General features: G+C 51.3%; 1 protein-coding gene across 6 annotated transcripts, besides 3 other annotated features; it reads right to left on the bottom strand.

Annotated features, from left to right (window-relative positions):
- Positions 1,624-1,782: a silencer, noted in NCBI's record as "fragment chr9:131099538-131099696 (GRCh37/hg19 assembly coordinates)". NCBI's record gives its function as "represses an EF-1alpha promoter that drives an FKBP-Casp9 reporter gene in an ReSE screen in HepG2 liver carcinoma cells {active_cell/tissue: HepG2}" and the evidence as "EXISTENCE:reporter gene assay evidence [ECO:0000049][PMID:32094911]".
- Positions 4,960-5,459: an enhancer, noted in NCBI's record as "H3K4me1 hESC enhancer chr9:131095861-131096360 (GRCh37/hg19 assembly coordinates)". NCBI's record gives its function as "activates a minimal SCP1, AML or CMV promoter by ChIP-STARR-seq in naive H9 embryonic stem cells {active_cell/tissue: H9 hESC(naive)}" and the evidence as "EXISTENCE:reporter gene assay evidence [ECO:0000049][PMID:30033119]".
- COQ4 (coenzyme Q4) lies at positions 4,969-16,202 on the bottom strand. Of its 6 annotated transcripts, NM_016035.5 has the most exons (7): positions 16,113-16,202; positions 15,894-16,025; positions 13,802-13,898; positions 13,160-13,262; positions 6,759-6,888; positions 6,098-6,191; positions 4,969-5,567 (listed from the first exon to the last, which is right to left on the bottom strand). In NM_016035.5, exons 1-7 carry the CDS (start codon positions 16,180-16,182, stop codon positions 5,396-5,398), a joined length of 798 nt encoding a protein of 265 aa, NP_057119.3. In that variant the 5' UTR covers positions 16,183-16,202; the 3' UTR covers positions 4,969-5,395. The 6 variants fall into 6 exon arrangements, with proteins under 6 accessions (NP_057119.3, NP_001292871.2, XP_016870281.1 ...); XM_047423448.1 differs by lacking the exons at positions 4,969-5,567; positions 6,098-6,191; positions 6,759-6,888 and adding an exon at positions 11,215-12,729; NM_001305942.2 differs by lacking the exons at positions 6,098-6,191; positions 6,759-6,888; positions 13,802-13,898.
- Positions 15,915-15,974: a silencer, noted in NCBI's record as "silent region_20335". NCBI's record gives its function as "represses an Ori minimal core promoter by ATAC-STARR-seq in GM12878 lymphoblastoid cells {active_cell/tissue: GM12878}" and the evidence as "EXISTENCE:reporter gene assay evidence [ECO:0000049][PMID:35858748]".

Here is a 16,205-nt window from a genome sequence, read left to right as displayed (position 1 = left end):
GTGCACGTCTGTAATCCTAGCTACTCAGGAGCTGAGGCAAGAGAATCACTGAACCCGGGAGGCAAAGGTTGCAGTGAGCCGAGATTGGGCCACTGCACTCCAGCCTGAGCAACAGAGCAGTGAGAGCCTGTCTCAGAAAACTAATAATAATAAAAATAAAGATGAAATTTTGGTCTGATAAGGATTTGGACCTATTTCTTCTGGAATATAGGGTGCCTCCTTTTGGGGACTTGAGTAAATTCCAGCACCACATCCTTCATGGGTATCACCATCAGGAGGCAGAATGTGCAGTGGTATGGGCATGAGCATTGAGTTCGCCTTCTCAGCTGAAAGGTCAAGATTCATTTTGTTCTTACATATAAAAAATGGGACATACTAATTAATAATACCTCACAGGGTCAGCGTGGAGATTTGTGGGGAGTATTTTTTTTTTTTTTCCGAGACGGAGTCTTGCTCTGTCGCCCAGGCTGGAGTGCAGTGGCGCGATCTCGGCTCACTGCAAGCTCCGCCTCCCAGGTTCACGCCATTCTCCTGCCTCAGCCTCCCGAGTAGCTGGGACTACAGGCGCCCGCCACCAGGCCCAGCTAATTTTTTTGTATTTTTTTTAGTAGAGACAGGGTTTCACCGTGTCAGCCAGGATGGTCTCGATCTCCTGACCTCGTGATCCACCCGCCTCAGCCTCCCAAAGTGTTGGGATTACAGGCATGAGCCACTGCGCCTGGCACAACATTTCTTGAATGAATGAAAGGGAGAGTGAATTGGAGGCTCTGACCTTATGCACACCAGGATTCGTGAGTATAATCATGAGTACTTCCACATCAACTACTGAGGTCATATGCAAGTGGGCAGGTGAGAGTTAGCGGGAGGATGCTGGTGACCAGCCACCTGCTCTCCTTCAGTCAGGCTCGTCACACTGGAGAAACCAAAGCAGTACCACCGGACATTGGATCAGGCCTGAGGGGGAGAAGCAAGACAACACAGAACAGGACAGCCTGCCTTTCAGTTGCTTACAGTCTAGCTGGCCGCACAGAGGACAGGTGGAAGTGAGATGGAATAGGTCATCCCTCACTCAGTGCTCACTGTGCTGGTGTCACGCTCATCACAGTATTGTCATTAAAATTTTTTAATTTTTTTTTTTTGAGATGGGGTCTCACTCCTGTTGCCCAGACAATCACAGCTGACTGCAGCCTTCACCTCCTGGGCTCAGGTGCTCCTGCTACCTCAGCCTCCTGGGTAGCTAGGGCTACAGGTGTGCGCCACCACACCTGGCTAATTTTTTGTATTTTTAGTAGAGACGAGGTTTCATCATGTTGTTCAGGCTAGTCTGGAACTCTTGAGCTCAAGTCATCTGCCCCCCCAGGCCTCCCAAAGTGCTGGGACTCCAGGCATGAGCCACCCCCCGCCAAGCTCTACCAACAAAATAATTTCAGAGTGGTGAATGCTCTAAAGAAAATAAGGGCATAGTGCAGTGGCTCATATCTGGAATACCAGCACTTTGGGAGGTCAAGGCAGGAAGATGGCTTGAGGCCAGGAGTTCAAGACCAGCCGAGCCAACATAGCAAGACCCTGTCTCTACAAAAGAAAAAAAAAAAAAAAAAGCCGGGCCCGGTGGCCCACACCTGTAATCCCAGCACTTTGGGAGGCTGAGGCGGGGGGATCACAAGATCAGGAGTTTGAGACCAGCCTGACCAACATGGTGAAACCACATCTCTACTAACAATTAAAAAAAAAATCAGCCGGGCGTGGTGGCAGGCACCTGTAATCCCAGCTACTCGGGAGGCTGAGGCAGGAGAATCGCCTGAACCCAGTAGGTGGGAGGTTGCAGTGAGCCGAGATCACGCCATTGCACTCCAGCCTGGGCGACAGAGTGAGACTCCATCCACTCCCCCCGCCAAAAAAAAAAAAAAAAAAAAGAAACCACTTGACTGGGCACGGTGGCTCAGGCATGTAATCCTAGCACTTTGGGATGCCAAAGTGGGCAGATCACCTGAGGTCAGGATTTCGAGACCAGCCTGGTCAACATGGTGAAACCCCGTCTCTACTAAAAATAAAAATTAGCTGGACATGGTGGTGCACCCCTGTAATCCCACCTACTTGGGAGGCTGAGGCAGGAGAATTGCTTGACCCTGGGAAAGGGAGGTTGCAGTAAGCTGAGATCACGCCATTGCACTCCAGCCTGGGTGACAGAGCGAGACTCCATCTCAAAACAAAAAAACAAAAAAAAACAAAACAAACAAAAAAAACTTAGCTAGGCGTGGTGGCATGCATCCATAGGCCCAGCTACTAGGGAAGCTAAAACAAGAGGATCCTGGAGCCCAGGAGGTCGAGGCTGTAGTGAGCCGTCATAGTGGCACTGCACTCCAGCCTGGGTGACAGAATGAGACCCCATCTCAAAAAATAAATAATAATAAACAGAAGATGATAGCATGGAGAGAGGCAGAGGGGGACTAGGGACTGCTTTAGATGGCAGGAAGCCCAGGAAGACATCTCTGCTGTGACATTTGAGCAGAGATGTGAATGACAAGGAGCTCACCATGTAACAACCTGGGGACACGGTGCTGTTCCCAAAGGCAGGAAGAAGCCTGGTGTGTTCAGGGAGCAGGATGAAGGCAAGCATGGTTTACTGAGATGGGAGAATAGACGTTTCTAGGCAGAAGTTGGTAGGGCCTCACCAGTGATTACCTATAGCCAGTTTGATTTTTCTCCAATCATGAGCTGGTAACACAAATGCCACCCTATACTCAGGAGACCAGACTCCATTCCCAGCTAAGCCTGATGCTTTGTGTCCATCTCACAAGTGCTACAAAGGCCCAGGGTTGTCCAGGCACTGCCTGCCTAGAGCAGGTGAGCTGCTCAGCTGGGCAGTGAAGGCCATCTGTCTGACCTCCGCTGCCACCCTGGCACTGTTGACTTTAGTGAGCTGCAGTGGGGGTGCCTGGGACCCTGGGAAGCTGCAGAAACAGCTGGCAGGTCTGCAGAGACTGGTGAGGTATGGGGACTCACTAGCATGGCCTCCTTTTCCCGCAGATTCAAGGAGCTCAGAACAAGGTTTCCCTCCTGAAAAGTCCATGGTTCTGAGGTGGGCCTCCAGCCTCCCCTGCCCTTCCTCTGCTATTGGGATCCCTGAACCAGACGTGGTGCGCACAGGGAAGGCTGGGGCCCTGGTATGGCAGTGCTGAGCAGGTCTTCAGACAACCCGTGGTTCCAACCCCAGCTCTATTCCTACTGCCTCGTTAGTAAAACACAAGCAAAATACCATCTCCCTCCTTGGGTGGTGACCTTGAGGTGTCAGTGCGATAATGCATCTCAAGTGCTTAGTACTGCCTGACATATAGTACAGTTAGAAACTGATTATAGATAGGGAAACTGAGGCACTGGTAAACATACCAGGGGGCCTGTGGCCTGTGTTTTAGTTACTCCAGGCAATTCTCTGCCTGCCTCTGGGCCATCAATCATCTATTCACGCAATGAGGAATTGGCCTGAAAAATGCTAAAGCCTCTTCCATCTTGGGGCTTTTCTGGTTCTAAACCCAAGCCAGGGCCACCCACTCTTCTAATACCTTTCATCCAGCCGGTCCTTGTTCCTTGGCTCTTACCCAAGGAAAATGCCTTTTTGCCACTCCAAAATGAACTGCAGCTTTTTGTGCTTATGAACACAGTAAGAATAAAACAGCTCCTGATTGGTTGGAAACAGTGGTTCACATCTGGATTATTTGGAAGGCCAAGGGTGGGAGGATCACTTGAGCCCAGGAGTTCAAGCAGCCTGTGCAACATAGAGACCTCATCTCTACAAAAAATTAAAATTAGTTGGGCGGCCAGTCGTGGTGGCTCACGCCTGTAATCCCAGCACTTCGGGAGGCCGAGGTGGCTGGATCGCCTGAGGTCAGGTGTTCAAGACCAGCCTGGCCAACATGGTGAAACTCCATCTCTACCAAAAAATACAAAAATTAGCTGGGCATGATGGCATGCGCCTGTAGTCCCAGCTCCTGGGGAGGCTGAGATGGGAGACTTGCTTGAACTTGGGACGCAGAGGTTGCAGTGAGCCGAGATCGTGCCACTGCACTCCAGCCTGGGCAAAAAGAGTGAGACCCTGTCTCAAAAATAAATAAATATAAATTAAAAAAAATTAGTTGGGCATGGTGGTGTGTACCTGTGGCCTCAGCTACTGGGGAGGTTGAGATGAAGACTGCTTGGGCCCAGGAAGTTGAGGGTGCAGTGAGCCAAGATTATGCCATGCACTCCAGCCTACATGACGGGGCAAGAGCTTGTCTCAAACAACAACAATAAAAAACCCCACCTCCTGCTCCTTGGGCCCTTTTTCTGAAGTCCGCCTTCTGAATGTCCCCTCAGAAACCCCCACAATAGTCCTAGGGGATGAGTGCCTTAGGATTCCACTTTTCCTGATGATGAAATGGGGACTCAGAGAGGGGAAGGGACTTGCCCTAAGTCCTCTGCTGGAAAACAGGGAGGAGTTGGCTGGGCGCGGTGGCTCATGCCTATAATCCCAGCACTTTGGGAGGCCGAGATGGGCGGACCACGAGGTCAAGAGATCGAGACCATCCTGGCCAACATGGTGAAAACCCGTCTCTAAAAATACAAAAATTAGCTGAGTGTGGTGGCACGCACTTGAAGTCCCAGCTATTCAGGAGGCTGAAGCAGGAGAATCATTTGAACCTGGGAGGTGGAGGTTGCAATGAGCCGAGATCTCGCCATTGCACTCCAGCCTGGCGACAGAGCGAGACTCCATCTCAAAACAAAAACAAAAAACAAAAAAACAAAACAAAAAAAAACAGGGAGGAGCTGGGAATTTGAATCCATGTCCACCCAACTTCGGCCAGAGGAGAGGGGACAAGCAGCTAGAGCCCAGGCTGGGAGGGAAACTTCTACTTCCAAGCACTAGGGTGCTTGGAAGGCGCAAGAGTGCCAAAGTCAGGGGCATCCCTGGGGGAAAGGAGGACAAGCAGACACTTGACCTGATGGGAGCCTTTATTCACACACTCGCCTCCCCCTCCACTTCTCTCTTCTCAGGCTTTTGGAATTGGGTGTAGCCCTCACTCCTGTGAGGACACCCAGCCTGGCCCCCAGCAAACCTGGCTGGCTGGGAGGAGTTGCAACAGGAGCACTGCGACATCCCAGCATGAGCCCAGACGACTGATACTGTTCATGCATGGTTCTCCTTGGGTAGCTGCTGGTCCCCCTGGGAATGCCACTGTACTGCTTGCTCCCTGCGGGGTTCGTCCTCAAGGCCACTCAGCAGTGGTTATGACAAATTATGATAAATGTTGTCCAAGGGTCAGTGTTCAAAGAAGAGGAACAAAGGTAGTCAAGGGAGCCCTCTGCCTCCAAGGGAAGCAGGGGATGGGGGAGGTAGGCCAGGCCCCGCTGGCTCAGGAGCTCAGGCCAAGCCCTGGACGTGCATGGGTGGTGCTGTAATGCCCAGCTCCTCCCGCAGAGCCCTCAGGGACTGCTCCCAGCGCCGCTCATAGTACAGGTTGAGGACACATGGGGCTCTGCGCCCGTTCTGAACGGCCCATGGGATCAACTCCGAGACCAGCACTTGCAGGCTCCTGTGGGGCAGCAGAGGAAAAAGAAAACATCAAGTCCCTGGGGCCAGGCACTCGACTGCTCGGCACTTGTGCATTTTCTCAGTTCATCCTCACAAAGGCCTCGGAAGGAGGTAGTTATTATCCCTGCTTTTTAGATGAGGCAACAGAGCTCAGTGAGGTGGAATCTCAAGCCCAAAGCCACACATCTTGAACATGTCGAAGCTCAGATTTAAATCATGGCTCCCTCACTCCAGAATCTAACACCAACCTGCCTTCCCACTGACGCTCATCATTCTGACCATGCACTTAGGCCTGGCCCAAGAGACCCCAGAGTCCTGTGAAATGTACAGGCTTTATTTGCTCACTTGAAGACCCTTGCCCCAGGCCAGTTTCACATCTCTGCTCCATTCTTTCTACCCTTACTTCCTGGAGAACTGGAACGGGCTGTGCAGGGGCCCGTGTGCTCTTCCTACTTCTAAGAGCCCTGGTCCCTCTGAGTTCTGTCCTGATACCACCCTCAACCCCGACCCAGCTACCACTTGAAAACTTACTGAGCGCCAAGTCGGATCGGTCCAAAGAATGCACCCAGGATGCACATGGGCAGGCCAGTCTGGACAGCCTCAAACCATTTCACCACGATCTCCCCTGTGGGTGAGGGATGTGTTGGGAGGTGAACAAGCTATCTGAAGGAAAGGCCAGTGGTGCTCACAGCAGGGTAAAGAGAGGCACTGTTCCTCCCTAATCTCTACGGGGTCAGCTGTGCCCAGTCCTGGCCTGTGCTGGGCCCTGGGGCACTTGGCTTGGAGTACAGGAGAGAGCCCAAGAGTGAACAGAAGGGAGTAGGGGATGGAAAGGAAGCCTGGGGTCAGGGCGCAGAGGACCCCATGACCCCATAAGCCAGGCTAAACACTCCAGGATGGTTCCTGCAGGCCTTAGGGAGCTACTGAGGTTTCAGAGCAGGGAGGCAGCTAAAGCCTAAAAAGACACCAGGAGCCTTGAAGATGGGCTCTGCTGCTCCATTAGTGCAGGAGCCCTGAGGGGCAGTGGGAGAAAGAAGGGGGACATGTGGCAAAGATGCTACTAAGATGTTCAGGTAAAGCAGAAATTGAGGCACCAAGCCAGGTGATGCAGAGGGTGGTGGAGATAGGCAAGCCCTGCCCTGGCCCTGAAGCCACCCCAGGGAGACAGGCCATCAGGGTTGGGGGCACTCACCCAGGATGTTGGTGGGCATCCCCAGCAGGGTGTGAAGCATGTCGTGCACCTCCCGGTACCGCTGAATCACATACGCTAGCTCCTCATCATCCACGAAGCGGGTGGGTGCTCGGGTGTCTGGGGAGACCCTCTGACAACCATGAGCCTCCCCTAGAACCCTTCCTGATGGTTCCCAGGGCCCGATTTGCCAGTCTGTCTCTGACACCGTCACAACTCTCACCTAACTCATACCTACTAGAAAACTCTGGCGACTGGCCAGGGGCCGAGGCTCATGCCTGTAAATCCCAGCACTTTGGGAGGCTAAGGTGGGCGGATCACCTGAGATCAGGAGTTCAACACCAGCCTGACCAATACGGTGAAACCCTGTCTCTACTAAAAAATACAAAAATTAGCCGGGTGTGGTGGTGCACACCTGTAGTCCCAGCTACTCGGGAGGCTGAGACAGGAGAATCACTTGAACCCAGGAGGCGGAGGTTGCAGTGAGCCAAGATTGCACCACTGCACTCCTGCCTGGGTGACAGAGACTCTGTCTCAAAGAAAAAAAAAACCCAGAACAAAAAAAATACAAAAATTAGTCAGGTGTGGTGGTGTGTGCCTATAGTCCCAGCTACTCAGGAGGCTTGGGACAGGAGGATGCTTGAGCCCAGGAGTTTGAGGTTACAGGGAGCTATGACTATACCACTGCACTCAAGCAAGACATTGTCTCTAAAAATAAATAATGAAGCCCCAAAGACCCTGATCCTAGCATAACTTGCTCCCAGCTTGGGGTGTTCTCTCCCACTACCTCCATCTTCACTGTGGTAACTCCTACTTATCCTTCATGACCTGGGTTAAGTGTCCCCTGTCCCCCATCCCTTCCCCCCACCACAGAGAGGCCACCCCTAACCTACAGACCAAGTGGGTTCATGTTATGGTCTCTGGAAACATCATTCACCTCTTAGTGGCACTCAAAATAACTGTACCTTGATGTTTAGTGGATGTGAGTATTAATGTCTCCTAGACCTACACTGTCCAGTATGGCAGCCGCTTGCCACATGTGGCCAAGAAAGTTGTCCAAGCGAGATGTGCTGATCATATAAAATACACACGAGACTTCAAATGCTTAGTATGAAAAAAATGTAAAACTCTCAATGATTTAAAAATACTGGCCGGGCGCGGTGGCTCACGCCTGTAATCCTAGCACTTTGGGAGGCTGAGGCAGGTGGATCATGAGGTCAGGAGATCAAGACCATCCTGGCTAACACGGTGAAACTCCGTCTCTACTAAAAATACAAAAAATTCTCCGGGCGTGGCGGCGGGCGCCTGTAGTCCCAGCTACTCGGGAGGCTGAGGCAGGAGAATGGCGTAAGCCCGGGAGGCGGAGCTTGCAGCGAGCCGAGATCGCGCCACTGCACTCCAGCCTGGGCTACAGAGTGAGACTTCGTCTCAAAAAAAAAAAAAAAAAGAAAATTGATTACTTGTTGAAATAATACTTTGGATATATTGGGCTAAACAAGATGCATATTTAAAATCAATTCTAGCCAGGCACGGTGACTCATGGTTACAATCCCAGCACTTTGGGAGGCCGAGGCGGGCGGATCACCTGAGGAGCTCAAGGCCAGCCTGACCAATATGGTCAAAAATTAGCCAGGCATGGTGGCGGGTGCCTGTAATCCCAGCTACTTGGGAGGCTGAGACAAGAGAATTGCTTGATCCCAGAAGGCAGAGGTTGCAGTGAGCTGAGATGGCACCATTGCACTCCAGCCTGGGCAACAGAGTGAGACTCTATCTCAAAAAAACAAACAAAAAAATTCCACCTTAATTTTAATAGCAAAAAAATTAATTTCTTTTTGCTATTAAAGTAGCTGGCAGAAAATTAAAAATTACCTACGTGCTCACATTTTATTTATTTATTTTTATTTTTATTTTTTGAGATGGAGTCTCACTCTGTCGCCCAGGTTGGAGTGCCGTGGTGCAATCTCGGCTTACTGCAATCTCCTCCTCCCGGATTCAAGCAATTCTTCTGCCTCAGCTTCCTGAGTAGCTAGGATTACAGGCACGTGCCACTACACCCGGCTAATTTTTTTTTTTTTTTTTAGTAGAGACAGGGTTTCACCATGTTGGTCAGGCTGGTCTCAAACTCCTGACTTCGTGATCCACCCGCCTGGGCCTCCCAGAGAGCTGGGATTACAGTTGTGAGCCACCGTGCCCAGCCGATCACATTTTATTTTTATGGACAGTATCCAGACAGCCTGTCTGCTACACAAGGGCAGGACTGGCTCTGTTTCACTTATTCTTTTACCTCCAGTAGCCTGATCCAGGGCCTGGATGAATGAACACCTCTTGAACATATGAATAAAAGGCCAGTCCTGGGCACTTTTCTGATCCCAGAACTCTTCTCCTCTTAACTGCCCACTGCCTCTGAGTACTCAGCAGCACCCATACACAGTGGGAACAGCCTGGTCTTCCTGTTCCCAAAGAATGGCCTTAGCCTGCTGTGTGAAGCTGAAGGTGATCATAGAGTATCCACCAGGTGCCGGCACCTAGGGTGTCTTTTACATATATTATCCTTTCATCCTTGCAATCTTGGAGGTAAATACTGTTATTACTGCAGATATAGATAAGGAAAACAAGGGCCGGGCGTGGTGGCTCATGCCTGTAATCCCAACACTTTGGGAGGCCAAGGCCAGCGGATCACTTGAGGTCAGGAGTTTGAGACCAGCCTGGCCAATATGATGAAATCCCGCCTATACTAAAAATACAAAAAATAGCCAGGCCTGGTGGCGTGCGCCTGTAGTCCCAGCTACTCAGGAGGCTGAGGCAGGAGAATTGCCAGGAGGTGGAGGTTGCAGTGAGCCAAGATTGTGCCACTGCCCTCCAGCCTGGGTGACAGAGCGAGACTCAAAAAAATAAATAAATAAATAAAAATAAGGAAAACAAGGCTCAGAGAGATAAAGTAATTTGCCCAAGATCACACAGCTAGTAAAGTGGCCGAGTCAGCATTTGAAACAAAGTCTGCTGGATTCCAAAGCCAGTGGCCTTAATATCCATTACCAAGGCCGATAAGTGCCCTGGAAGATATATGGGAGGTCCTCTTACTTCTGATGAGGAACCTGAGACTCAGCGAGGTCAAAGGATTTGTCCAGGCTTGTAAAGCTGGGAAGAGAGCCAGGATTCTCACTCAGGCTCCTCCTAATTCTCAAGCCCATGCCTGTAGTCTTGATACTACAAGATGACCACACCTCTCACCAAAATCAGCCTCAGGGAGGGGAGGGTAGCCTCACCTTGAACCTTTATCTAAATCTCTCTGGGGACAAAGGTGCTCCTTCACATTCCATGAGCTGCTGATTTCCTTGCTCTACAAGTGTCACAATCGCCAGCGCGGTTACAAGTGGGGCTGTGGCTGAGCAAGGTGTCCTAGCAGTCCTGTCCCTGCTACCCCCTCCCCTCCACAGCGACAGGGCTAAAGACTGGGGGAAATTCAGACTGTCCCTCCCTGTGTAGCACTTGAGGCAGGTCACCCTGGTGAGTTTCCCACTGATGAAATGACTTGCATCCTGGTGAAATCTGAGAGAGATGGTTTAAAATAGTGCAGGTGATCGCCCCGTCAAGGTAGCTGTGCAGGAGACTGTGAGGAACAGAACATCGTCTCGGGGACAATAACCATTCAGAGCAGTGGTTCTCAACTGCCCACCAGGGAACATCTGTAATCTCTGGAGACATCTGTGGTTGTCACAACTTGACGGGGGGGTGCTCCTGGCATCCAGTGGGTAGAAGCCAGGGATGCCACTAAACATCCTACCAGGCTCAGGACCGCCCCCACAACAAAGAGTGATCCAGCCTAAACATTAACATGCCCGGCTTGAGAAACTGTTCTAGGGCAACCTTTGGAGACCCCTCACCTCCATCAGCCAGACTGGCTCGCCATTTGGCAGGGGTGCCTTGATGGGATGTATCTGTGTTGCAGGAGGGAGGGAAGATGGGACAGGGACAGGGAAGATGGGCCAACTGGATCCTAAGGTCCTTTACAAATCAGGTCACTTTACTGTCCTGCTCAAAACCTTCCACAAGTTTCCTACTGCTCCTATTACAAAATACAGACTCCTCCTTCTGGTGGCCTACAGGGCGCAGCCCTGGCTCCCCTTCCAGCCCACTCACTGTCTCCCTGCTACTCCCTCCTCTGCGGCCACACTGGTCAACCTTCCTTTTCCTAAACACAAGGGGCCTTTGCCCTTGCCATTCCCTCTACTCAGAATGCTCCTCCTCAGCTCTCCACAGGGTTGGCTCCTCCTTACCTTCCAAGTCTCCTCAGAGGAGCCGGCCCTGACCACCCAGTCAGAAGTGGCTGTACCCTTCCCAATACCAAAGCTGTCTTCTATCACACTAACTTGTTCTCTTCATAGCTGCTAGAATGTAAGTTCCACAAAGGCAGGCTTTTTGCTGGTTTTGTCCACTGTATCCCAACTGCTGACAATAGTGCTGGTATACTTTTTTTTATTTTTGAGACAGAGTCTTGCTCTGTTGTCCAAGCTGGAGTGTAGTGGTGTGATTACGGCTCACCGCCCTCGACCTCCTGGGCTCAACTGATCCTCCTACCTCAAACTCCCTCCCAGGTAGCTGGGACTATGGGTATACACCACCACACTTGGCTAATTTTTGCATTTTTTGCAGAGACAGGGTTTCACCATGTTGTCCAGGCTGGTCTCAAACTCCTGGGCTCAAGTGATCCGCCCACTTCAGCCCCCCAAAGTATTAGGATTACAGGCATGAGCCAACACGCATGGACCAGTGCCAGAATATTCTAATTACTTGAAACATTTTACCTGTATTTTTATATGAATTTTTTTGTTTTGTTTTGTTGGAGACAGAGTCTCACTCTGTCGCCCAGGCTGGAGTGCAGTGGTGTGATCTCAGCTCACTGCAACCTGTGCCTCCCGGGTTCAATCAATTCTCCTGCCTCAGCCTCCCGAGTAGCTGGGATTACAGGCGCACACCATCACACCTAGCTAATTTTTGTATTTTTAGTAGAGACAGGTTTCCACCATGTTGGTCAGACTGGTCTCAAACTCCTGACCTTAGGTGGTCCTCCCGCCAGCCTCCCAAAGTGCTGGGATTACAGATGTGAGCCACTGTGCCTTCCCTGAAAATTTTTAAAAACTATTTTATTGTCTACCTCTCGAAGTAGAATAGAAATGAGGGCAGGGAACTTGGCTGTCTAGTTCACCATTATATCCCCTGTACACAAAACAATGGTTGGGCTGGGCACGGTGGCTCACACCTGTAGTCCCAGCATTTTGGGAGGCTGAGGCAGGTGGATCACTTGAGGTCAGGAGTTCAAGACCAGCCTGGTTAATATGGTAAAACCCCTCTCTACTAAAAGTACAAAAATTAGCTGGGCGTTGTGGTGTGCACCTGTAGTCCCAGCTACGTGGGGGGTTGAGGCAGGAGAATCGCTTGAACCCAGGAAGCTGAGTTGCAGTGAGCCGAGACGGCGCCACTGCACTCCAGCCTGGGTGGCAGAGCGGGACCCTGTCTCAAAACAAAACAAAACAAAAAGGATGGGCCGGGCGCTGTGGCTCACGCCTGTAATCCCAGCACTTTGGGAGGCTGATGCGGGCGGATCACGTGGTCAGGAGATCGAGACCATCCTGGCTAGCACGGTGAAACCCCGTCTCTACTAAAAAATACAAAAAATTAGCCGGGCGTCGTGGCGGGCGCCTGTAGTCCCAGCTACTCGGGAGGCTGAGGCAGGAGAATGGCGTGTACCTGGGAGGCGGAGCTTGCAGTGAGCAGAGATCGCACCACTGCACTCTAGCCTGGGCGACAGAGCGACTCAAAAAAAAAAAGGGATGGCACATAGCAGAGCCTCAGTTAGTGAATGAGTTTGCCAATAGTCGGGACACCCCCTTTCCCCCTCTCCTTGTCCTCCCTGCCTGGGGCTGGAGGGGCTGGAGAGTGCCACACCTGCCATACCGTAGGGAAAGCAATGTCCCTGGAATAAAGGGATACAGTACAGCAGTGAAGAGCATGATCTGGGATTGATTACTATCTCCATTAATACCAGTTATGTGGAATTAGCAAGTTTGCTTCACTGCTCTGAGCCTCTGTTTCCTTATCTGCTAAAAGAGGATAATAATAGAACATACTTGACAGAGTTGTGGGGGGATTCAGCAAGATCACGGATGAGGCTGGCATCAGGCATGCAGTGCGAGGTTAATGAACACTGGCCAGTATTATCAATTGCAGGCATGTTCCCACCCATTTGCCTATCCCATAGAAAATGACAAAGCCTTGGCATGAGCCTGAAGAGCACTCCTGCCAATGGTGGCAGCTCAGGGCTCCTCTTTCCTCAGGGTGTCATGCCTGTGCTATTCCTCTGTCCTGTCTGGTGACTGCCAGATACACAGGAGCTGAAAACTCACGTTCACATCCAGGAAACGGAGATACTCGCGACCGAGGGAGCCTTCCGGCAGGCTCTGGAGCTTGCCCAGGTCGAGGGTGGATGTCGAAATCCGGGGACGCTCCCTGAAAGGCAAGACTTGGGCATTGGGAGGGTGTGGGCAAAGGTAGGTGAACGATCCAACTACAGCGAGCTGAGGGGCGGGAGAATGTACAGAGGAGCAATGTGGCCACCACAAGCCTTAATGGAGCACCTACAACTGGCCAGGCTAGTGTCAGGGACTTAGGATACTACCCCAAACCAAGGACATGGGCAGGGGTACAATCTCGGCAGGAAGACAGTCCTCGAATGTGACCAGAGTACTTGCAAAAGGTACTGCAAGGGAGGGGTAAAGCCAGCACATGTTATGGGAACTTAATGAAGGCACAGAGCCCTGTGGTTGAAACTGGGCCAAGGCTATCACACTGCACAACTCGGAAGTCATCAGTGTATACACATGTATGTGAATGACACCCCTGGAATTGGGCAGTGCCCAGCCTGTGCAACCATATGTAGCCAGGGTATCAAAAGCTCCCTAGCGGAACAGAACAAACACAATGTGATTCTAGAGAGGTCAGAATACCTAGAGAATGCCCCCAGACCCCCAGGCAGAGCTGGGACCTACTGCAGGATCTGGGCACCCTCTGGATCCCTCCTCATCTGGTCCCTGAGGACCTTCAGGGTGCGGTGTCCTGTGGTCTCCCCTAGAACTGCGACCATGTCTGAAAGGACAGAAACGGGCACAAATGGGGGATGTCATCTTAGGTAAGTTAGCTGACCTGGTCTGAGCCTTTGTTTCCTACAGGATAAATTAGGGATGATGTCTAGCTCTTTGTTATAAGGATTCAGGCTAAACACTTAGCAAATTACCCAGCACACAACAAGGGATCAGTATACATATCTATAGTTCTTATTCTTAATCTACTGGGGCGGGACAGCTCTAGTTAGCACAACGTTGTAAAGATTTTATAAATCACTTTTCACAATACAATATCATGTCTCCATTGATTGGTAGAGGCTTAGGCATCAGAGATGCTGGGCTACAGTCCAGGTGTGTTCACTATCTAGGTGACCTAGTACAAATTGCTTCACATTTCTGTTTTGTTTTGTTTTTTTGAGACAGGGTCTTGCTCTGTTGCCCAGGCTGGAGTGAAGTGGTGTGATCATAGCTCACTGCTAGGACTACAGGCATGCAGCTAGTTTTTTAAATTTTCTGTAGAGATGAGGTCTTGCTATGTTGCCCAGGCTGGTCTTGAACTTTGGCCCCAAGTGATCCTCCCACCTTGGATTCCCAAATTGCTGGGATTACAGGTGTGAGCCACCATGCCTGGCCTGCTTCACATTTTTCAGCCTCAGTGTCTTAATTTGTGAAGTGCAGACAACACCTTTCTTAGCTGGTTAATGTGAGAAACCATGAAAATCATATATATATAACACTTAGTGGCCAAGTGTAGCGGCTGACACCTGTAATCTCAACACTGGGGGGCTGAGGCAGGAGGATCACTTGAGGCCAAGAGTTCCAGAGCAGCCTGGGCAACGTGGCAAGACGCCGTCTCTACAAAAAAATTAAAAAATTCGCTGGTCTTGGCCGGGCGTGGTGGCTCATGCCTGTAATCCCAACACTTTGGGAGGCCGAGGTGGGAGGATCACCTGAAGTCAGGAGTTTGAGACCAGCCTGGGCAACATAGCAAAATCCCGTCTCTACTAAAAATACAACAATTAGCCAGGCCGCACAGGCCTGTAATCCCAGCTACTCAGGAGGCTGAGGCACGAGAATCGCTTGAACCTGGGAGGTGGAAGTTGCATAGAGCTGAGATTGCGCCACTGCACTCCAGCGTGGGCCACAGAGCAATACTGTGTCTCAAAACAAAACAAACAAAAAACCACTGGGGACATGGAGATATAGTGTATTTTTTGTTTAAGACAGGGTCTCGCTCTGTCGCCCAGGCTGGAGTGCAATGGCGCAATCACAACTTACTGCAGTCTCGAACTCCCCGGCTCAAATGGTCCTTCCACCTCAGCCTGGGAATACAGCCGCATGCAACCAGCCCCAATTAATTCTTGTATTTTTTTTTGTAGAGATGGGGATTCACCGTGTTGCCCAGGCTGGTTTCAAACTCCTCAGCTCAAGCCATCTGCCCGCTTCGGCCCCCCGATAGGGATTATAGGCGTGAGCCACTATAATAGCGCCTAGCCTGTTTTTGTTAGTAGGAATAACAGTACTTCCCAGAACTCAAAAATCTAGGAGGCATAAGAAAAACACTGTAGAACCCTAGAATGTTCTAGTCACACATCCAGCAAACATTTATTGAGCATTTACTATGTGCCAGGCACTATCCAGAAGGCTGCAGATGCAGTGGAACGAGGCAGACATGGTCCTCGACCTCGGAGTTGACTTTCTAGTAGGATATTATAAACTGATCGGTACTTATGAATCATCTATTTAGTCTAGATGTTCTCAATATGGCTGCATGACAGATTCTCCCAAGTAGTTTAAAGACAGACTTTCGGTTTCACGCCCATTTCTCCCTCCACTGCAGATTCAGATTCAGATTCAGTGCGTTTAGGTGGGATCCAGGAATCTGCATTTTCATAAACGTTCCGAGTGGTTACGAGCTGCAACCAGGTTTGGGTACCCCGACCTAGGCTATGTTCCAGTTACCCACAGGAAACGGCTCCAAGCCGCCCCCACGGGGGCGAGGCGCGGGCGGCCTTACCGTGGCGGTAGGGGTTATAGAGCGCCATCGCCGCGGAGCCGGCGGCCAACAGCCCTTTCTGCAGCGGGGAGGTGGGGAGGTGGTGCGAGTATAGCGGGCCGGCGCCGTCGCTCCTAGCCCGGAGGGGCATTTCTGCGGGGCAAGAAAAAGGCCGAGGTCAGAGGAGCCGGGCGCCCTCAGGCTCCTTCCCGCCTGCGCCCAGAACCCGGCGCCACTTGCCTGCCGCAGGCCGCTGTAGGCCCGGGAGCCCGCAGAGCCGACGGAGGACAGGGCGCAGCAGAGTCGCCATGGCAGCGGGCGTCCGCGGAGGAT

This window comes from Homo sapiens, chromosome 9 (assembly GCF_000001405.40).
Source record: "Homo sapiens chromosome 9, GRCh38.p14 Primary Assembly".
Lineage (NCBI taxonomy): Eukaryota > Metazoa > Chordata > Mammalia > Primates > Hominidae > Homo > Homo sapiens.
The sequence above is the reverse complement of the archived record's forward strand: the minus strand, read 5'-3'. Positions and strand labels throughout refer to the sequence as shown.

Bases quoted from the DNA above. Each gene is read 5' to 3' on its own strand.
- COQ4 (NM_016035.5), bottom strand. From the start codon at position 16,182: ATGGCGACTCTGCTGCGCCCTGTCCTCCGTCGGCTCTGCGGGCTCCCG. The intron at 13,263-13,801 runs GTAGGTCCCAGC...CTTGCCTTTCAG, and splicing joins GAGGGTGCCCAGATCCTGCA to GGAGCGTCCCCGGATTTCGA. The intron at 6,192-6,758 runs GTGAGTGCCCCC...CCTCACCCACAG, and splicing joins GATGCCCACCAACATCCTGG to GGGAGATCGTGGTGAAATGG.